This window comes from Homo sapiens, chromosome 4 (genome assembly GCF_000001405.40).
Source record: "Homo sapiens chromosome 4, GRCh38.p14 Primary Assembly".
Taxonomy (NCBI): Eukaryota; Metazoa; Chordata; class Mammalia; order Primates; family Hominidae; genus Homo; species Homo sapiens.
In genome coordinates this window covers 90,720,392-90,744,528 of record NC_000004.12, presented here as the reverse complement: position 1 = coordinate 90,744,528, position 24,137 = coordinate 90,720,392, and the positions used below count along the sequence as shown (strand labels likewise).

The following is a 24,137-nucleotide window of genomic DNA, read 5'->3' as shown; positions in this document are numbered from 1 at the left end:
TATGCAGATATAGGTATCCAACAATAGTGTATTATATAAGAAGTATTCATTTTTAAAATAATTTTTATTTGATCAGTGCCTCTTGATATTCTAGCAATTGACAAATTTCAAATAAAGTCCAAAACTCATTCTGTGGAATTCAAACTCAAGAAGTAGAAAATATTCTTCATTTTGCATTTTATTACTTGCTCAATTTTTGACCACTTCCGGTACCTTACTTCCTGTAAAATGGAGTCTAAGTTTTTCCTCATCATACAGGCAACACATAACCGAATACGTATAGTTTCTGTACCCTCAGGGTCTAGCACAAGGCCTCTGCTCTTTCAGCTGAGATTTCAGGACATTTGTCTCTCCTCAACTCCCAATACTTTGCACTTTTCCAGGCCGTGTGCAAATACAACCAGTGTCACTATTCCCATAGCTTTCCATAGTCATAAGAAAATATTCCCAGCCCCCAGTACCTTTACATAAAATCTTATGCATAAGAGAACCTCAATTAATGCTTGTTAATTGTTCTGCATGACTCACCACATTCAAGAAAGTAGCAGAAATGGTGAGAAATGAAACTTTTAAAACTAATATCACTAAGTGACCAGGCCCATGGGAAAGAGCAAGAAAAATGGGGACAAAAAAGGGCTAATGCTAACAAGAGAGTACACCATTGTCAGGTTTATTCCTGTGGGCATTATTACCAAAAATTATGACTAATCAGTCTTTAGCATGGTGTGGTAACTGACATGGCTCCATTTTTCCACTTAGCTCTATTGTTGAAGTTTCTGTCTCTGGCAAAGACACTTAGGGGAGAAAAGTGAACTTAATTCCCCTACCCTTAATTATGCTTTGACAATTTTGCTCAGCATTTTTAAAGCTTCAGGCTTAAAGGTGGCTGCCGAAGTCTTTCTTGTTAAGCAGGTCCTAACTAGTCTAAATAAACCTTTATTCTTAATAAGAAGCATATGCAACATAATTTTAATAAAATAAGTTTAGCCTACAAGAATCAATGTTTGTTACATATTCTGACATAAGGCTTCCCATCAGATTTACTAAAGTAAAATAAACTATGTGAGAAAAAGAAGACGTGTTCATGTACAAAGACATAAACCGACTGCTAATAATATAACTGAAGAGCTTCAAAGCAGATAATTTCCTTAGCTGAGAATCTGACATCAACAGTTTCTCAGAATATTCAAATTATATCTATCTTCAAAATTTTTGCTATTAGTTATAATTTAATCCTTTCATCTGGCAATTGTTTACCTTCTAATTTCTGTGCTATGTATCAGCCACTAACCAAAGGGACACAAGTAAGTTTCTGCTAAAACACATTGTACCTTTCCTTCTTTCTTTTGGAATGCATTTTAAAGTGGTATTCATTATATTCCTAAGCTATTGAGAATATCTTTATTGTAGGCAAGACCAAATTGAATTATCTTATTTACTCCTAATTATTATCCAAATTTTAATTTGTGCCATCAACATGCCAATTTTTCCTAAGGAAATAACAATAAATAATAGAATATCTGCCAAATTACTTATGTGTGGTATGAAAACTGCAGTGAAAAAAAGGCTAAATTTATATCTTAAAAAAATCAAAATATTTGTTTATTTTACTCATTTTATTGCATCTGTCAGCATGGCTACTTAATGCATCCACATGGTACAATAAAAACAGTAGTTGAATTACACATTTTACGAAACAAAAAATAACAACATAAGCCCAATATCATTATAAAACACTTAAGTCTAATATTATTTTAGCACTATAGAGTCACCAAGGAAAACAGTCATTTCCAAAGAATTTCATGCATGGCAAAATTAATTGCATTTAATTCCTTATTACATTTTATTTGATACAACATGGTACCATTAACTGGGTGGCTTCTAAACAATTGAAAGTTATTTTTTTCAATTCTAGAGGCTGGGAAGTCCAAAATCAAGGTGTCAGCAGATTCAGGGGCTAGTGAGGGCTTTCTGGTTCACAGACAGCAATCTTCCCTCTGAGTGCTCACATGTTGGAAGGGATGAGAGCATTTTCTGAGACCTGTTTTATAAGGGCACTAATAACATTCATAAGGGCTTTATACTGAGGACCTAATCATAGTAATAGGCTCGACTTCCTAATATTGTCACATTGGAGGTAAAAATCTCAAGGTGAATTTTCAGAGAACATAAATCTTCAGTCTATAGCATGCATATTGATATGATTCAACCTCTAAAATTCAATGGTTATTTAAGTAGATGATATGGTTTGGCTCTGTTTCCCCACCCAAATCTCATGTTGAATTGTAATTGCCAGTGCTGGAGAAGGAGCCTGGTGGGAGAGTGATTCAATCATGGGGACAGACTTCCATCTGCTGTTCTCGTGACAGAGTTCTCTCAAAATCTGGTTGCTCGGAAGTGTGTAGCACTTCCCCCTTTTCTCTCTCTCTCTCTCTCTGTCTCCCTCTCCTTCTGCCATTTGAAGACATACTTGCTTCCCCTTCACCCTTATGCCATGATTTTAAGTTTCCTGAGGCCTATCTAGGCATGCCTCCTGTATGGTCTATGGAACTATGAGTCAATTAAACCTATTTCCTTTATAAATTACTCAGTCTCAGGTAGTTCTTTAAAGCAGTGTGAGAATGAACTAATACAGTAGGCAATTTCAAAATACAACAGATGGAACTATTGCCAGATAAACTGAACTCATGCTGAATCCATATATGATAGCTTCTCATATTCACGGTCTATCTCAAATGAGCACATTAGTAGTAAATCATAGTCTTTGAATTTCACCTGGGTTACTAACTTCTTATTTTAAAAAACGTGTTCACACTTATAGGTAAACTGTGAAGTAATATTTGAAATTATGTAAAAAACAATAAAAATGAGTATAATGGAGTTTATATGAAATGATAATACTAAGTAAGAAATAAACACTGAAGTGCTATACATGAGATCAGTTGCTTAAATTATCATTGATAATGATATTATATCAAAAATATAACAGTGTGAATTCCCAGCCAGATTCAGTATCTGATGTATATATCACGTATTTTAAAACCTTAATATTGGTGTGCACAAGAATGATGGTGTGATTGTTACCTCTGCTATTATCTCACACCAAGGTTTTTCAAATTATTGAGAGCAACAGGTGTTCAGGAACAGAACACCATCCAACTGAATACATGTTGGTTTCAACTGTTTTCAAATAAAACTGCCCTGGCATCTTTTGACAGAAAAAATGTTTCAGTGATGCCAATCTACTCTGAAGTGGATTCTCAAACCAAGATTGAGGTTATAATGACTCAGTTTCTTAAAATTCTTTTTGTTTGAAGAAACATATAAATATTTTTTTCCTTCCTTATAATTAAGCCCTTTATTGGCTATAAAATTTTGCTAGCAGTAGTTCAACACCTATCCTTTACATACAAATTAATTCAGAACTCTTCCCATGTTCTGTACCTGAACTCTACCGCAGTATTCAAGCTTATCCTACAGAATCCTCACTTTGGCCAATTAAGGAAAGCAATCCAAATGTATATATCCTTCAGATTTCCAGGGCCCTGTTTAACTCAGTGATACACAAAGTGAAACCTTAAATTCAATAGTCCAAGATAATATTTTAATAGATGCTCAGAAAATGGTGTCCACAAAATTTCTTAAATGAATCCTTTGATTAAAGTAAGCAAAACAGACTATGACCCAATATCTGAAGGCATGGTAAAATAAGCCATTTTACAAAGAAAATTTTCTATCAGTACTACTTAAAGAACCCCAAAACAGGAGAAATCCAAGACACCAACCTGGAAAAAATGAAAAACTAATTGAAATTTAAATTTAAGACAGAAAATGAATGTGTGAACTGTAGAAGGAAGAAGAGGTATGCCATTATTTTTAGTATGTATTAATGTTGACAAGTTCTTTATCTTGTACCAACCTTTCTGAAATGATTTGGACAGTGTGTGAGAATAATTTGAACAGCAATATGATGCTAATAGACAACATGAAAGTATTTGCTAATGTTTTCCTCTTGAAATATTTTTCCCAGAGGTCTACTATGTCTAAGAGATATTGCATATCTTTTAACACAAATTAAGCAAAATTCATTTTGACTTTAATTTATGTAAAAATAATTTTATTTGTCTTACCAGGATATAATTCTCATTTTTCTTACTATGTGAGCATTCATCATCCATCAGTAATGCTGTCTGCAATAGTCAAATAATAGGTATACTATTTATTCTAAATTTATCTTGACTGAACCAAGAGAAAAAAATATTGACACCAAATAATAATATATAAACATATATATAAAGTCTTGTTTGGTAGTTGATATCTCAATTTAGAATTTACTTTTAGTGTTTTTATCCATTATTTTGTAAAATACTTTTAAAAAACATAATTCTTTGAAGTTAATTTAAATATGGTGACATTTAATGGAAATTTCCAAACTTAACGGAAATTAAAATAGCATTGAGGGATATAGTGACGAAGGCGGAGCAATATGGCTGAATAGAAGCCTCCAGAAATCATTCCCCCCAACCAGGAACAACAAATTGAACAACTGTCCACACAAAAAAGCACCTTCATAGGAACCAAAACTCATGTAAGTAATTACAGTACCTGGTTTTAACATCATATCGAGTAAAGAGGCACTGAAGAGGATAAGAAAGACAGTTTTGAATTACCTACACCACCCTTCCCCTATTCCTAGCAGTAGTCAGCCACCTGCCGTGGAGAGAGAATCTGTGTGCTTCAAGGAGGTACAGTGCACTAATTGTGGAACTTAGCATTGGAACACAGTGCTGCCTGGTCACAGTGGAAAGTGACTCAGGGCAGAGCTCAGTTGGTGACATGGAGGGAACATTCAGATTAGCCCTAGCCAGAGGTGAATTACTCATCCCAGCAATTGGAACCTGAATTCCAGTAAGCCCCACTACCACAGGCTAAAGAGCTTGGGGGTACTAAATAAACTTGAAATGCAGTCTAGCCCACAAGGACTGCAATTCCTGGGCAAGTCCTGGTGCTAAACTTGGAGCCCATGAAGCTAAGATGCACATGACCCAATGAGACACAAGCTGGGGCAGCCAAGGGAGTTTCTGCATCACCCCTCCCCCAACTCCAGGTAGCACAGCTTGCAGCTCTGGGAGAGACTTCTCTCTGCTTAAGGAGAGGAGGGGGAAAGTAAAGAGGAGTTTGTCTTCCAACTTGGGTATTGGAACAGCCACAATAGAATAGGGCAACAGGCAGAGACCTGAGGCCCCCCTTTCAGGTCCTAGCTCCTGGATGACAACTCCAGATATACCATGGGCCAAAGGGAACCCACTGCCCTAAAGGGAAGGACCCAGTCCTGGCAGGATGCATAACCTGCTGACTAAACAGCCCTTGGGCTCTAAATAATGAGCAGTAGCAGGCAGGCAGTACTTGCCACTTGCCTTGAGTGAGACTCAGAGCTATGCTGGCTTCAGGTGTGACCCAGCACATTCACAGCTGTGGTGGCTATGGGTAGAGTCTCCTGCTTAGAAGAAGAGAGGAAGGAAAAAATGGGACTTTTTACTGAAGCTTGTACCAGTTCCACCATAGTGGGGAAGAGCAACAAACAAGCTCCTGGGGTCCTGAATTCCAGGCACTGGCTCCTGGATGGCATTTCTGGACCTGCCCTGGGCCAGACAGGAGCCCACTTCTCTGAAAGGAGAGACTCAGGACAAGAGCATTCACCATAAGCTGATGAAAGAGCACAGGGCCTTGAGTGAACATCGACAGCAGCCAGGCATTGCTCACCCTAGGCCTGGGGTAGTGTTGGCTACAGGGAGAGAGAAACTCAGTGCCGTGAAGGGAAGAAAACAAGCCTGGCTGGATTCACCAAATGCTGATTGTAGAGCCTTTGGTCTTGAGTGAACACAGGTGATAGCCAGGCATTGGTCATAGTGGGCCTTGGGAGGTCACAGTGGGCCTTGGGAAGACACAGTGCTGTGTTGGCTTTGGGTTGAATGCAACTTGGTCCCAGTGAGGTGGCAACAGGGGTGCTTGTATCACACTTCCCCAGCTCTTGACAACCCAAAATAGTGGGAGAGACTATGTTTGGGGGAAAGTAAGAGAAAACAACAAGAATCTCTGTATGGTAAAGCAAAAAAAAATTCGCCTGACCCTAGCCAAGAACCAAGGCAGTACCCCTATGAGTCTGCAAGATGACAGCATTACTCAGCTTGGGGTGTCCTCTAATGCAGATATGGCTGCAGTGACCAAAGACTTAGATCACAGCACCAAAGTCCCTTTGAATACCTGGAAAGCCTTCCTAAGAAGGATGGGTTCAAAAACAAGCCCAGACTGCAAAGACTACAATAAATACCTAACTCTTCAATACCCAGACACCAGACCCTGATGAATATCCACAAGCATCAAGACCATCTAGGAAAACATGACCTCACCAAAGAAACTAAATATGGCTCCAGTGGCCAATGCTGAAGAGAAACAGAGATATGTGATCTTTCAAACAGAGAATTCAAAATAGTTATTTTGTGGAAACTCAATGAAATTCAAGATAACAAAGGGAAAGGAATCAGAACCTATCACATAAATTTAACAAATAGATGGAAATAATTAAAAAGAATCAAGCAGAAATTCTAGAGCTGAAAAATACAATTGAAATACTGAAGAACAGATCAGAGTCTCAGAAGAACTGATCAAGGAGAATAAAAAAGTAATAAGCCTGAAGACAGGCTATTTGAAAATACATAGTCAGGGGAGATAAAAAGTAAAAAGAATGAAGCACACCTACAAAATCTAGAAAATAGTCTAAATGGGGCAAATCTAAGCATTATTGGCCTTAAAGAAGAAGTAGAGAGACAAATTAAGGTATGGACAATAACATAGTACTTCCCAAACCTAGACAAAGATATAAATATTTAAGTACCTAAAATTTATAGAACACCAAGCAGGTTTAACCCAAAGAAGACTATCTCAAGACATTTAATAATTAAACTAAAAAAGGACAAGGATAAAGAAAGGATCCTAAAAAGCAGCAAGAAGAAAGGAACAACATACAATGGAGCTCCTATTCATATGGCAGCAGCCTTTTCAGTGGAAACCTTACAGGCCAGGAAATAATGGCATTACATATTTAGAGTGCTGAAGGAATAAAACCTATATCCTAGAATAGTTTATCCAGCAAAGATATCCTCATATATAAAGGAGAAATAAAGATGTTCTCAGTCAAACAAAAGACGAGGGATTTTGTTAACACCAAACCTGTCCTACAAGAAATGCTAAAGAAAGAGAATTCTTCAATCTGAAAGAAAAGGATGTTAATGAGCAATAAGAAATCACTTGAAGTTACAAAACTCACTGGCAATAGTAAGTACACAGAAAACCACAGAATATTATAACACCGTAACTATGGTACATAAACTCATAACTTGGGTAGAAAAACTAAAAGATGAATGTAACAAAAATAATAGCTAGAACAACTTTTCAAGACATAGTTAGTATAAGATATAAATGCAAACAGTAAAAAGTTAAAAAGTTGGAGGATGAAGTTAAAGTGTAGGGTTTTTAATAGTTTTCTCTGTACTTGTTTGTTTGTTCATGCAATCCATGTTGTCATTGCATTTTAAACCTATTTTTTAAAAAAATGGGTTATAAGTTGTTACTTGCAAATCTCATGATAACCTCATATCAAAAAACCCACAGCAGATAAAGAAAAATAAAAAGCAAGAAATCAGAACATACCACCAGAGAAAATTACCTTCACACAAAAGAAAATAGCAAGGGAGGAAAGAAGGAAAAAACAACCAGAAAACAAAATAGGAGTAAGTAGGAGTAAGTCCTTACTTATTAATAATATCATTGAATGTAAATGAAATAAACTCTCCAATTGAAAGTCATAGAGTGGCTGAATGGATAAAAAAAATGACCTAATAATCTGTTTCCTACAAGAAACACATTTCACCTGTAAAAACAAATATAGACTGAAAATAAAGGGATGGAAAAAGATATTCCTTGCAAATGGAAACAAGAGCAGGACTAGCTATACTTATATCAGAAAAGGTAGATTTCAAGACAAAAAATATAGAAAGACACAAAGAAGGTCATTATATAATGATAAAGAGGTCAATTCAGCAAGAGGATACAATATTGTAAATATATACACACCCAACACAAGAGCACCCAGATTTATAAAGTAAATATTATTAGAGCTAAAGAGAGAGATTGACTCCAATACAATAATACTTGGGGACTTCAACACCCCACATTCAGCATTGGACAGATCATCCAGACAGAAAATCAACAAAGAAACATTGGACTTAATCTGGACAACAGGCCAAATGGACCTAACAGATATTTACAGAACATTTTTCATCCAAAGGCTTCAGAATACACATTATTCTCCTCAGCACATGAATAACTCTCAAGGATAGACCATATGTTAGGCCACAGAACAAGTCTTACAATTTTGTTTAAATGAGATTATATCAATTATCTTCTTTGACCACAATAGAATAAAATGAAAAATCAACAACACAATGAATTTTGGAAACTGTACAAATTCATGGAATTAAACAATATGCTTCTGAGTGATCAGTGGCTCAATGATTAAAATAAGAAAAAAATTTAAAAATTGCTTGAAACCAATGAACATGAAAACACAACATACCCAAACCTATGAGCTATAGTGAAAGCATTTCTAAGAGGGAAATTTATAGTTATAAGCACCTATTTCAAAAAAGTAGAAACACTTCAAATAAACAACCTAACAATGCATTTTAAAGAACTAGAAAAGAACAATCAAAACCAAAATTAGTAAAATAAATAATACAGATCAATAAACCTTTAGCCAGACTAAGAAAACAGAGAGAAAGCCCATACCAATAAAATCAGAGATGAAAAAGGAGACATTATAACTGATACTACATAAATTTAAAGTTACCATGAGCAACTATGTGCCAATAAATTAGAAAATGTAGAAGAAATGGATAAATTTTGAGACACATAAAATCTATCAAGACTGAACCATGAAGAAATGTAAAATCTGAACAGACCAATAATAAGTAATGAAGTTGAAGCTGTAATAAAACATCTCCAAGCAAAGAAAAGCCCAGGACCCAGTGGCTTCACTGCTGAATTTTAGCAAACATTTGAAGAACTAGTATCAATCCTCCTCAAGCTATTCTGAAAAGTGGAAGAGGAGAAAATACTTCCAAAGTCATTCTATGAGGCCAATATTACCTTGATACCAAAACTAAACAAAGACCCATCCAAAACAGAAAACTACAGGACAATATCCCTCATGAACATTGATGCAAATATACTCAACAACACACTAGCAAACTGCATTCAACAACCCATTAAAAAGATCATTCGTCATGACCAGGTAGAATTCATTCTACAGATACAAGCCTGGTTTAACATACAAAAATCAATTAATATGACATGCCATGTCAACAGAATGAAGGGCAATAAACATATAATTATTTTAATAGATGCTGAAAAAGCATTTGATAAAATTCCACACTCTTTCATGATAAAAACCCTAAAAAACTGAGTATAGAAGAAACATACCTCAAAACAATAAAAGCCATATAAGCCATATATGACAGACCCACAGCTTATGCTAAATGGGGAAAATCTGAAAGTCTTTCGTCTAAGATTTGGAACAAAACAAGGATGCCCTTTCACCACTGTTATTCAATATAGTGCTGGAAGTCCTAGCTAGAGCAATCAGAAAAGGGAAAGAAATAAAAGCCATCCAAACTGGAAAGGAAGAAACCACATTATACTTGTTTGCAGGTCATATGACCTTATATGTGGAAAAACCTAAAGACTCCACCAAAAAAATTATTAGAATTGAAAAACAAATTCAGTAAAGTTGCAGGATACAATATCAACATACAAAAATCATTAACATTTCTATATCCCAACGGAATCTATTTGAAAATTGTGAAAATTGCAATATCAAGAAAGTAATCCAATTTACAATAGCTATAAACAAAAATAAATACCTAGGAGTTAACCAAATAAATGAAAGCTCTCTACAATGAAAACCATAAAACACTGATAAAATAAATTGAAGAGGATACAAAAATGAAAAGATATTCTAGATTCATAAATTGGAAGAATCAATATTGTTAAAATGTCCATACTATCCAAAGAAATCTACAGATTAGGGAGGCCAAGGCGGGCAGATCACGAGGTCAGGAGATCGAGACCATCCTGGCTAACGCAGTGAAACCCCGTCTCTACTAAAAATACAAAAAATTAGCCGGGCGTGGTGGTGGGAGCCTGTAGTCCCAGCTACTTGAGAGGCAGAGGCAGGAGAATGGCAAGAACCCAGGAGGCAGAGCTTGCAGTGACCGGAGATTGCACCACTTCACTCCAGCCTGGGCGACAAAGCGAGATTCCATCTCAAAATAAATAAATTAATTAATTAAATTAAATTAATAAAAATAAAAATAAAAATAGCAATCTATAGATTAAATTGACGTTTTTCACAAAAATATTAAAAACAATCCTAAAATTTATAAATTTGGAATCACAAAAGACCCAGAATAGCCAAAGCTATCCTGAGCAAAAAGAACAAAATTGGAGGAATCACATTACCTGACTTGAAATCATATTACAGAGCTATAGTACACAAGACAGCAGGGTACTAGCATAAAAACAGACACACAGACCAATGGGACAGAATAGAGAACCCAGAAACAAATCTATACATATACAGAAAACTCATTTTTGACAAAAGTGCCTAGACATGCATCGGGGAAAGGAAAATCTCTTTAATAAATGATGCCAGAAAACCTAGATATCCATATGCAGAAGAATGAAACTAGACCCCTATCTCTGATCATATACAAAATATCAAGTCAAAATGGATTAGAGACTTAAATATAAGACGTAACTATCAAATTACTAAAAGAAAACACTAGGGAAACTCTCCAGGACCATGGAGTAGACAAGGATTTCTTAATATCCCTAAACCACAGTCAACCAAAGCAAAATTGGATAGATGGGATCATATCAAGTTAAAAAGCTTTTGCACAACAAAGGAAACAATAAAGTGAAGAGAAACTCACAGAACGGGAGAAAATGTTTGAAAACCACCCACTGAACAAGGGATTAACATAAGAATATATAAGGAGCTCAAACAACTCTATAGGACAAAAAATTAACAATGCAATTTAAAAATGGCCAAAACATCTGAATAGACATTTATCTAAAGAATATATACAAATGGGAAACACATATATCAAAAGGTGCTCAACATCACTAATCATCAGAGAAATGCAAATCAAAACTACAAAGAGATATCATCTCATCCTTGTTAAAATGATGTTTATCCAAAAGGCAGGCAAAATAACAAATGCTTTGGAGGATGTGAAGAGAAGGGAACCTTCATACAATGTTGGTGGGAATGTAAATTTGTACAATTACTATGCAGTACAACTTGGAGGTTCCTCACGAAACTAAAAATAGATGTACCATTTGATCCAGCAATCCCACTGCTAGATATATTCCCAAAAGAAGGGAAATTAGTGTATTGAAGAGATATCTGCACTCCCATGTTTACTGTAGCACTATTCGTAGCAGTCAAGATTTGCAAATAATCCAAGTGACTATCAACAGATGAATGGATTAAGAAAATGTGATACATATACACAATGAACACTATTCAGCCATAAAAAAGAATTAGATGCTATCATTTGTAACAACAGGGATGGAGCTGGAAGTCATTATGGTAAGTGAAATATGCCAAGGAAAGTAAGAAAATTACACATGTTCTTATTTATGGGAGCTAAATATTACAATAATTAAACTGATGGAGATAGAGAACAAATTAATATATAGTGCTTAGAAAGGCCCACTTGCAAGATTAGCCACTGGTTGGTATCTAAGAACTTGACTGACTGGTAACCAGAGTCCTACATACATATAAAGATTTCCATAAATGATAAGATTGGCTCACTGTCCCTAAGTAGTTTGTACAAACAATATTTGTACAATAATGTTTATGTTAAATACCTGATTTCTTCTGGGAGTTTAGAATATGGATATACACTAGGTACAGGGTTCCTACATGATAAGCCCCCAGTAAAATCCTTTGGTGCTGAGTTGCTACTGGCCTTTACTGGGCAGAAATATCACATACATGTCCTCTGTTCACATTGCTGGTAGAGGCGAGTGTGATCTCTGTTGAATTCTGTGTCTTCTTACAAATCTCTGAATGTAGGGGTAGTCTTAGGGACTGTCGACACACTCTGGAACTGCTAAATCAATAGAACAATGTGGAGGTGAAGCTGTGTATTTCTGGTCTAGTCCTAATTAGACTGACATGTTTCCCTTTCTTTTCCTGTGGAACATTCACCCTAGGGGAAGCCAACTATCATATAACAAGTCTAATTATCCAAAACCAGCATGTTGTGAGAAAGCTCAAGCTAGTCCATGGAGAGGCTGAGGAGAGAAAGAGGGAGGCAGAAGTAGAATAGAGCAGTGAGAGAGAGAGAGAGAGAGAGAGAGAGAGAGAGAAATCCCAATAGGTACAGTGTTTTCAGTGCAACACCAGACTTGTGAATAAAGGAATTATCCTGGGAGTCTACCTCACCTGAGCCTTCAGATGACCCCATTCTCAACCTCAGTCTGACTGTACCCACTTTAAAACCTCACACAAGAACTGCCCAGATGAGTCTAGTCGACCTACAGAATCATAAACATCAATAATAAATTATTATTTTAGACTGACAGGTTTTGAGATGGTTTATTACTTGGAATTATATGAGTGAAACTATCATTTTGTATTACATCAATCAAAAATAATTGCTTTAAATATACATAGTATAAATAATAGAACCCTCTTAAAATTTATTCCCATTAGAGAACCACAATGATGCCATGTTTATTTAAAATGATTTTTATAAAATACATTGGTTCCTCAAATATATACCTATTGTATGGTTTATATTCAAAATTCATCAGCTATCCCTCAAAGAATTTTATTTTTACCTGCTTATTTCTTCACCTATGTATTAATGAATCATATTTCTAAACCATAATTATTGATTTATCAGCATCCACCACAAATTATGTTTAGTTTTACCTATGTGCTTTCAGTTATCTGGCAGATAAAATATATTACCAGAAATTAGTATTACTTGTAGGATTGAATATTATCCCCTGCAAAACCAACATCGTCTGCCATTTCACAATTACTGCCTCACTACTAACACAATTAAGCCAACCAAACAAATAAGATTTTACTAATCTCCGTATCATGCTATCTATTTGTAACATCAGAAAGTTACCTAAAGGGTAAAAATAGGAAAACATTAAAAAATTAGTATCAGAAACTATCTTTGATTTTGTTCTTTTAGGATATTCTACATACAATATATTAACAAATCCTGCTGACCCCACATTCAAAATGTACTCAATATTCAATCAATTGTTATCCCCTCAACTTTTACCACTCCAGTTTAAGCCATCATAATCTTTCAACTATAGGAGCCTTGACTCAGTAATGCCTATATCTACACAGAAACCAAAGCAATAGTTTAACAATAGTCTGATTATGTCATTCTTTTTTTCAACAAACACTCTAATGGCTTTTCATCATATGTGAAATAAGATCTTAAGTCTTTATCATGACATACTAGACCTTTTATGATAAGATTTCTCTGTGACCTAAACTTGTATTACTTGTCTCATCATTCATTCTACTCCAAACACAATGTTTTGCCATTCCTGATAAGACCGAGTATTCTCTTGCTTTTGCAGTTGTTATTCTCAGGTTTCTTCCCATAAAAACATGAGTGGCTTTCTCCCTTTCTTCATTATGGTCTCTACTAAAATGTTCCATAATCAAAGTGGTCTTCCTTAGCCATCCTTTTTGAAACACCAACACACTCCAGTGCCACTTTCTATCCTTCATATTGCGCTTTACTTTTCATCATAACATTTATCACCCTACCTGACATTTTATATATTTATTTGCTGGTTGTCTATTTCTTCTCCCAAGAACCCAAACACCATTAATGCAGGGATTTAGTTCGTGTTGTTGACATCGACATACCAATGCCTTAGAATATTACTAAGAACATGGTAGGTACTTGACAAATTGATTCATCAACAAATCCTTGAATGCATAGATGGCTTAGTAAAAAATGACCAGAAATGCAGAAATATACCATAATGGGCTCTTCCAGGGATACATTAAAAAAGCGATTTCTAATACTAAGAGAGACCATTACATTCAATAAATGAAAAGGAACAATAAAAACTCTCTCATACACACACAAAAATGAGTCTATGCAGGATACACAACAGATGATGTTGTGAAGGTCATGCCACAATTTGGCTTCTGTCTTTCAGAGTTTCCAAATGTATTCTTTTACATAATGATATATTTAGATGAAATAAATCGAAACTACTCACTATGTTGATGTTATAATATATAAACAAGTAAAACAGCAGCAGCACTTTGTTCACAATGGGTGTTTCCCCAGTATTCTAAAGTGGTTAAATAATATTCCTTCACTGGAAGGTATGCTTTTAGGAGGTTACCAGGTTACGTTACTGTGGTGGTTTGGATAACAAAAGAAAAAGTTGCTATGGTGTATGCCTGATAAAAAGATACTATATGTTCTTTTGTTATTTTATTTTATTTTATTTTTATTTATTTTTTGAGATGGAGTCTCGGTCTGTAGCCCAGGCTGGAGTGCAGTGGTGCTATCTCCGCTCACTGCAAGCTCCACCTCCTGGGTTCACGCCATTCTCCTGCCTCAGCCTCCCCAGTAGCTGGGACTACAGGAGCCCACAACCACGCCAGGCTAATTTTTTTGTATTTTTAGTAGAGACGGGATTTCACCCTGTTAGCCAGAATGGTCTCGATCCCCTGACCTTGTGATCCAACCGCCTCAGCCTCCCAAAGTGCTGGGATTACAGGCGTGAGCCACTGCGCCCGGCCAATATATATATGTTCTTATTGTTACAGAAACTATTATGTATTTTTTCCAAGTAGTGTTTCATTATATTTACCAGTTTTCCCTCAAGACAAATTCATTATATTTACTCCTTCTCAAAATTAATAAACATTTCCATTAATCATTTTTCATAAGAGGAATCTGATATATGAGCTCAACTGAATACTCAAGCGTATAAAATAAATAGCATGACTTGTAGGAATAAATGTTAAACTTGAATCTTCATCAAAGTAAATAATTTATGTTTAAAATATATTTCTTTCATATTTGAAAATAAAGTAGTAGGAGTTCAGTGGCAAAATTTCTGCCCTACAGTATTTATAAGACTTTCTTGCATTGAACTTGGAGATCTTGCATCTATAAAAATAATAATCAACAGTTACATATGGGTTACTATGTGCTATTGTAGACACTTTTCATTTATTAACTTGTTTAACCTTATAAGAACCTAATGAAGAAGTAGTTGCTGTTGTCATTTTATAAATAAGATATTTGGACACAAAATAACTGGCTCAAGGTCTCACATAGCTAGAGAGTGGCAAAACTGGGGTTTGATCCTCCCAGACAGCCTCCTAATTAGACTGCATTGCTTCTAATGCCCCCAATTCTCTTTTCTGCTTTATTAAAAATAAACATTGTTTTAAAAATAGAAATAAGTGGTCATTATAGAAACTACAGAAAATTTTTCTTAAAATAGTGTGATCCATCCCCAGAGTTGAAGATTGATAATTCTATATTTACTGCATCTTTTTTTCTACACACTTCATTTTATACAATAGGGAGCAAACTGTGTGTTACTACACATTACTAATTCCTGAATCCAGGCTCTATGGTCACGTAAAGTTAAGCATCATTTTTATTGCTTAACATACCAGTATTTCATGGTAGAATATATGTTTTTAAATAATAGGGAGGGGGTCTCCCTATATTGCTAAGGTTGGGCTCAAATTCCTGAGCTCAAGCGAACCTCCTGCCTCAGCTTCCCAAAGTGCTGGAATTAGAGGGGTGAGCCACTACACCCAGCCTACAAAAAAATTTTTTGAAACAATTTATTTATCTACTTCCTCCCTTCTATCCCCTGCTTAAGCAAAGTGGCTCTGTGCATATTAAAGTTAAGTTCATGTCACGGCAGAAGAATCTTCAGACACAATTCTATTCCTAAAAAGTACATCAAAGAGTTTTTTCTTGTTCTTATTCTTGATATTGTTTTATCAGTGCCCTGGCTGATTTAAGGAGAGAAGAAACATCTCTGAGAGAAGCTTGGAGTTTCTTTAGACTAAAGAGAAATAACTAGGGATGAGGAAAAGAAGTCAGAGAACCTTGGATTTCATAAGAAGAAGAGACCTAGGAAAGAACCAAATGCCACACTGTCAGTTCCTTGGGAATGTGGCCATACCTTGGAGAGGGTGGTGCCATTGTGCATTCCAGGTACTGTGACAATCCCTCTAGGCATTCCAGGAATGCAAACATCCCAGGGAAGCAGTAGTCAATGGGCCAAGAAATGCAATGAATTAGGTTTGTTTTAAATTTTGATCAAGGATTGGTGAATGGAGGGTATTCCTCAATGCCTTTGTGTACTTTTGAAGCTACAAAAGTCTTCAGAAGTTCAAAGAACAATAGAATAGAAGTTTTTTTTTCCTGCTGAATTTATCACAGGATAAATATAATACAGTACAGTAGGATAATATGATTTCCTAACATATCTAATCAAAAAATATTACTTAAGTAGGAAAAGAGACTAAAATGTAGCCATCATGCTTCATTGAAGTACAAATAAATTTTAAAACTGATGAACATTACTAGCAAAAAGAACATGGCTCATGATAAATTGTACTTTTATGGAGGGTCAGGAGCAACGAGCCAGCTTTAGCTTCAAGAGTGTTAGTTCCAGGAATGGACTGAGGCTGCTAATAACTGCATATGTACAAAACATTGAAAGGGTCATCCTACTAAAGAACAGTGAAATGTAGTGGCTTGAAGCCATCTTCAGTGTGGAGCATTTTACCAAGGCTAACAAAGGGAGATGTCAGGCAGATGAGATAGGAAGTGATTAGATGTTTGCAAGAAATCAGGGAGAATGCCAGAGGGAAAAGATAGAAAAGGATAGAATGAGCACATTAAAATTAACAACATCAATTTTGTTCAGGTTTAGTCCTCAGAAAACTATAAAAAACTTAATGGCTAAGCAATCCACTGTCTTTTATCAGAGCAATGTTTCACTTTAATGATCTTGAACTTTTATGATTCTGTTGTTGATGTTTGATAACATTTTGTTCCTACCTATGCAAAATTGGTTATCCTTTGGCTCTTCTATAATGATGCAGTGGCATGTGTCAGACCATATGTGTGTACAGTTGATATAATGCTGAATATTCTATTAAAAAACAACAAAAACTAGAGGTTATACATTTGCCTTTTGTTTCCAAATAGATGCCCATAACAATAGTTTATAAAGGTAAAAGAATCTGACAGTTCTTATAAAAGAAACTTTTTGAACCAAGCATCCTAGAAACTCCTCAGTATCAAGAGGCTGCCCAGGAAATCTGGAGTTTATTATGTGTAGTATATGTGGAAGATTGTGAATTATACACTATCTTCTATGAAAGAATACAGTCAAATGCATTCATCACCTGGCATGAATATAGTAGGAATGGTGATGACTGTGGTGACCTGGAGTTTATGTACCCTGTCTAGATGGAGAAAGCCTTCTCATCTCTTATCAAGTAGTTCTACTTACAACGAGATCCACAAAGTTTCCAGATTTTTCAATTGTTTAAGACAAAGTTGGATGAATTTTTGTGTGAAATGTCCTCAGTTTTGAAAGGCTAGCTACACCAATCAAACCACTCTAGCAATGGTTTTTAAACAGTAAATTTGAGATTAGCAGGAACTGAACCATAGTGTGGGGGAATAGAGAAGTGAGTATGTATGTGGGGCTTAGACTATCTTTCAGGGCAGATCGTTTTTAATTAATTGAAAGAATGGGCTCCAATACTAACAAAGTTGAAAAATGCTGCCATATTGGAAAAAATAAACATTTGATCCCAAACAAGACTGAACTGCCATTTTAAATTCATGTATCTCTAAAGTTTAACCTACCTTGGGATAGTCCCTAGGATGCCATCTTTTTTTCCATACTTAATTTAATATATCTTACTATGGTACATTCCTAACAATAGCCAATTTCTTATCTAACATTCAAGAATAAAGGCATGGGTATTAGTGGGAAAGTATTTGTATTTATTTTTTATAAAAATAATTTACCATTTGTCTTTATTTCAAATGATGTGGTTGAATTCAACTTAATCTGAATGTCATTCTAAAGGTAATGCTTAAAAAAAAGTATGCACCTTGATAAACATACCAGCCAAAACAAGGTATCTTCCTCCAACTGTTCTGAGTGCTTCCAAAACTGACTAAGAAAGTGGAGTAAATACATTTCTTCTAGTAATCTAATTACTTCCCAGAAGAAAAAGGAAAATCAAATCCCTCAATCACCCACCAATATTAGAAGAAGCTTTGCTCTTCTAATGTTAGGGTGGATTGTGATGGGGTTGAGTGCTGAAATCACTGTATCTTAGAAAAGTAAGCTAAGAGGTTAAGAGGATTAATCTAATACTAACATGAAATATCATGTCACATTCATGGGGAATAGGTGAAAAAGACAACCTTTTATTTTCTAGTTACCTAGCTATTCAGATATCATAATTTTAATCAAAGTTTTATACATCTGAATTATAATATTAGACTTTTTCAGAATGTGGTTATAAGAAAACTTAAATGTCTTCTATTTGTTATATAATTCTCAACATATCCTTGGAATTACAATGCTTTATACTGTTAAGATTCTGTTCAAAATAGTTCTGTATATTTTGTGTTTATGTAACATTAAGTATTATATTACTCATTTACACAATGACAATTTATAAGCTAAAAATGAAAGAAGCAGATAAAGTTTTATTTCATAATTTTGATTTTTAAGTTTAGATACTTATAAACACTAGTGGGATAATTTTATAGGTGATTAAATATTTTGAAAAGATATAGGCAATATTCCTTTCACAAAAGGAGTAAATTAAAAGTCACTATAACTATGTTGGCCATCAAAAGACAATACTAAATATTATAAGCACTTGAAAGTTTTAATTTCTTATAGAACCATTTACATTTACCCCAAAACTATTGATCTCTCAGAACCAGTTAGAGAAACTAATTATATTTATATTAGCTTTATGTCAGCAGATTCTGAAATATGTCTAACCTTTTTTAACCTCTGTTAAAAAATACATTAATTTTCAAAGACTGTAATCATTGTCAAAATATTAAAAAGAAAAAATGGTTTCTGGCGAAGTTTTGAGAATTCAATTAAAATCTTGTTAAAGATATGCTTCTTCAGTAAATTTGTTCCATATACCATAAAACGGTAACATCAAACTTTGTAGCATTAGTATTATTTTCTCATTTATCTGTATAATAATAAAGAAAATGTTTCAATAAATAATGTAATCAGAATATCATTCAGTATTTAACAATTAGCAGGTATAGAAAGGGCCTTCTAACAAATATTTGACTCTCATTAAGCAAAAAAGTGTCCATAATTAGAAAACTAAATACTCTCATTTGAATTCATAGCCTTCTATAATTATCATTTCAACAAGACAGCAATATTGAATATATGAAAATCCATGCCAGCAACTGTACTAGGTATAAGCAATATAAAATTGAATAAGATACATTCCTTATATGAAAAATAAAAAACTCTCATAATAATTGTATGTTAAAATATTGCAGTCATAAAAGTGATAATCTTAAAATGTGCACGTCTTTAAACCAAACTATACTGAAATCAGTGCACTTAAGTACATCATCCCAACGTTTTAAGTTTTTTTCCTCAGGCTCTTAAGAATTGTTTTTATTTATAATAATCCTAATAATATCTAAATACCCCAGTACAAACATAAAATAGTTGATCTACAAGCTTTGGCTTAAATAGAAACATCTAATCTTAAGTGGCAAAACAAGACTTCGTATTTGTTATGTATATAGCTTCCCAAAGTGAAAAAAATGCCACCAGTCATACCACATACTTATTTGCATATTTACTCCAATATTTATTAAATACAATATGTTTGGTGGAATGATTCCATATTTCAACTCTTGATTTTGACTCTTATTTTAAAAGGATTACATCATTAATTATTGGTAACCTAGCATTGCTAATGAAAATTTAACCACTAGATGAGGGCTGAATGTTTCCTTTTTCCCCTATGACTTATATTAATATAATTACTATAAACAAAATATTTAAAACCTCTAATTCATGTGAATCAACCTATTACAATAAAACTCCACCATTTACATGTAAGACAAACAATTGTCCCATAAAGTATTAATTATCATTCAAACCTTTACCTTTAGTTAGCAATAGAATGACAATGGAACACACAAAAAAACGATTTTAAGATTTGAAATCAGACCCTTGAAGATTAAAGCAGTTCACTTCACCATCTACACATAAACTATTTTAAACTATTTATTAACTATCCTAATATTTTTATAAATAATGCTTTCTTGTTTGTTTTTTACCTTGAAAGGCACTGGCTCTTCAGTAAGAGGACTAACAGGAAGTGACGTGGTACTGCTTGCTGGACTCATGTCTGCACTCTGCAAGGACAGTGAAATTGAATTTAATTAGGATTGTTTTGTAGTCATTTTGACTATTCATAATTTAGAAAAATAAATAAATCATTAAAATAAACAAATAATAAGTAAAATATGAATGTAAAAAATCAGATTTAACGTAGATTTAATCATAATTATATAATAAATCATTCCTTATACAGAAATGATTATCTGGGAAATTAGTCAAATTATCACTCTCCATGTATATTTTAAGTGCATTTTATCAAATATAATGGCCATTTTTTGTGTTAGGGTGGTATTTATTATCATCATTGCTTAATTTATATTTTACCTTTTTTAAATTAAACTGTATCTGTAATAATTCATTATGTTGCTATTTCAATGTATTTCAGACTGATTTTCAAACGTGTATTACAGTTTTTCTTCTATAAAGATTTAAATCATTGCAACCATTTTTTTCATTATGTAAACCAATCTGCCATAATATACAATTACAAACTGAAAAAATATTAAATTTTTTAAATTCCTAAATTCATAGCCCCTGACATTTTACCTTTCTTTTATTCTGCTAAACAAAAATTTAAGGATAAAAGATTTACACAAATGTAAGAGAATGCCTGGAATGTTGCTAATGGCTGTTTATCTAGTCTTTTAAAAATAAAATCAATTAAAACGTCTTTAATGAGAGATTAGCCTAAGAAAGATATATCAGTTAGAAGTTCATCATTAATTTACTTTTCTAAAAGCAAGAAAAATATACTAATAGTAGGTAGCAACAGAAGTCATTTTATTATATTCTTAACACAGTCTCTCAGAGGGATTCTCCCATATGCAAATAAAACAAAAGAAAACATTGAAAAGAATATATACCTACATTTTCAGCTTGGTTTCTAAATATATGTGCAAACACACAGAAATTTTGCAGTGAAGATTAAAACCAAAGAATGAATTCACCTCAAGTGAGATAAGGATATAAGTAGGCAAGTTTGACTCACTTAAGTTTCAACAAAAGAACGCATTCAAAGCATAGGTGCTACAACCGCTACTTATTCTTAGAGACTTTCTATTCAAGGATTATTTTCAATTCACTGTATTCAAATGTACAATAAACTGGACATATTTTAAATATCCATTAAGTTGGGACTACTTATGACTCCCTAGTCCAGAAACCAAGGATAAGAACTATAAACACAGGAACCAAGATATTCAGCATAATGTTAATTTAACACATACCACACCTATTTTGGAAATTGATATAAGGCAGTGCATTGAGTAAAAATATCTAAAGAAGGAAATTAGGTAAAAATTGAACAATAATCTACTAAAGGAAGTAGGAAAATACATGCACCAGATAATTGAAGTGAGTTAGTTATTGACTTTAATTTCAAAATTTATCCGGAGTTCTATGCCATTTATTTGATCAATCCAGGAAATATTATGAATTGCTGACTCTCGCTCTCTGATTATATGACATAATAGAGAAACAAGGCTGGTATTGCTAACTAATTTACCTCAGGATGTTAACGTAAGACATGAATGAAGCTTTATGCTGAAAAACACAGAAAAAAAGACTCTTGAGCTAAATCTCTTAAAGTTGGATTTCTCACAAGAATTTAAGCAAGTGACAGAACACAGTTCGTTCATAGTTGAATTATTCGATATTTACCTGTAGTATGGACAGCCTGCATAGCTTATTAAAGTATCATACCCTCAAAAACTATATATTTAGGAGACATAGATGACATTCATTTGTAAAAATTGAAAAGCCTGGATCACAGTCTTTCCAATGAAGGTTTAATTTTTATAAGAACATGAGGAGTGCAAAGTCAAGGTTCATGGTAAACTTTAAAGATTGAGGTCTCCCACAACTTTCCAGAAATTAACATATAAATCAAAGGGTAGTAAAAAGCAGACTCCAAATTTTACATTATGTAACACTGATTCTTTGAATGTCATTCTAAGAGAAAATTGTGTTCTAGCTATAATTTTCAAATCAATCTTAAAGTGTGACACCTTAATTTTACTGTTCTGAGGAAATATTGAGATAAATATTTTAAAAAAACAAATCAATCTCGTATGACAACAGCTGATAAACTGTACTTAGTTATCAAGTTGAGAAATACATATTTTCATGTTTATCCTATTGTTTTCCCATTTGCTTTTCAGTGATCTGTAATTTAGGTATCATTCCAATTTGCTTATTCTTTTAGATCAAATAGTATCGTAAACCTTTTGAAGATAAGTCTTATCCATATTTCATATTTTAATCCATTTACTCTTTCATTCAACAATAGCAATACTGATACAATTTAATATCTAAATAAAATACTTAAGTTACATTTGATGTTTTTAAAAGCTAATGGTTTTTGTTAATCCACAACTTTCTTCATAAAATGTTCTGTCAGAATTATGGCTTCATCTGCTTTTGATATATTTCAGAGATTTTACAAGTGATTGGTTCATAATAATGTGAAAGTGAATCCTATGGGAACATAGAAGAGCTATTTTCTAAAAGCAGCAAATATCTCAACAGAATAAATCTCCTTAATTCTCATGAATTTTTTTTTAATCCATTGGAGACACAATAGACATTCCTGTCATAAGAAGCCTATTCTAACAAGTGTTCTTAACCTGGTTTTTGGTTGTAAGTCCAACAGACAAACTGCTTCTTTCAAACACTAGCACAGATAAATAATATGAACCTAACATTTTACCTACCATTAAAATGTTATTTTGCACAAATTGGTCACCTCTCCCTTTCTATTTCTATTTAATGTAGACTATGTTCTCTTTCATTTTTCTCCTAAGTGTCATCCTTAGGTTCAATAATAAAATCTAGACAAGAATTTACTGAGCATATTATAAATATTCTGGTTAATATCACCTTCTTTTTATGAATATTGCTCTCTAGAATCCTTTCTACTTGCCTAATTATTAAAAAACTCTTTCATTTCTTTATTGCTGTTGTTTTTAGAAGACAATTTCCTTAATTGACAAGCGATTTCATTCCTCACTCAATATTCTGTCACTAAAAAAGCAGAGAAATTGAAGAATAAGAGGCACTATTAATAATCAGAAAATAAAGTTGATATTTTGAGTGTTACATCTTCTCATAACTGCTACTATTATATTTATTATTGATAAATACAAACATGTACTCATTTTAATAGCATTGGGAAACATAGTATTATCTTCTTCATTTTGATATGAAGAAAGGAAGAACTCTCAATTGATTCACAAACTATTTGTCACTTAGTACTGTCAATGTTCTGTATATACAATTTCCAAGTCAGCCGTGTGTATCTAACAATATAAAATTTAGGTTACCCTCTTTGGATCCCCTCCCTTTGTATGGGAGCTCCGTTTTCACTCTATTAAATCTTGCAAATGCAAAAACAAACAAACAAAATATAAAATTTAAAATTTAAATTTATTTTTGAAATACAGTTAACTGATTCATAAGTTAGGGAGTTAATTTTTAATCCATGAAAATGAAAGAATCTTTTACAAGTATTATAAATATTTTATTGTATAAGTCTTATG

General features: G+C 33.6%; 1 protein-coding gene across 35 annotated transcripts in view; it reads right to left on the bottom strand.

The window, feature by feature from the left end:
- The window catches only part of CCSER1 (coiled-coil serine rich protein 1), a 1,477,902-nt gene that overhangs the window by 860,767 nt on the left and 592,998 nt on the right, over nucleotides 1-24,137 (bottom strand). For 29 of the 35 annotated variants that reach the window (XR_001741218.2, XR_938733.3, XR_938734.3 and 26 more), the window contains one exon: nucleotides 20,538-20,615. Coding sequence is in view for 30 of the 35 variants with exons in the window: in XM_011531936.2 (XP_011530238.1) it covers nucleotides 20,538-20,615 (78 nt within the window). In the remaining 5 variants the exon portion in view is untranslated. Of the gene's footprint in view, nucleotides 1-11,677; nucleotides 12,243-12,577; nucleotides 12,670-17,231; nucleotides 17,326-20,537; nucleotides 20,616-24,137 lie in introns of those variants that run through there. The other 6 variants (XR_938735.2, XR_007057924.1, XM_011531955.3 and 3 more) reach the window with 4 other exon arrangements.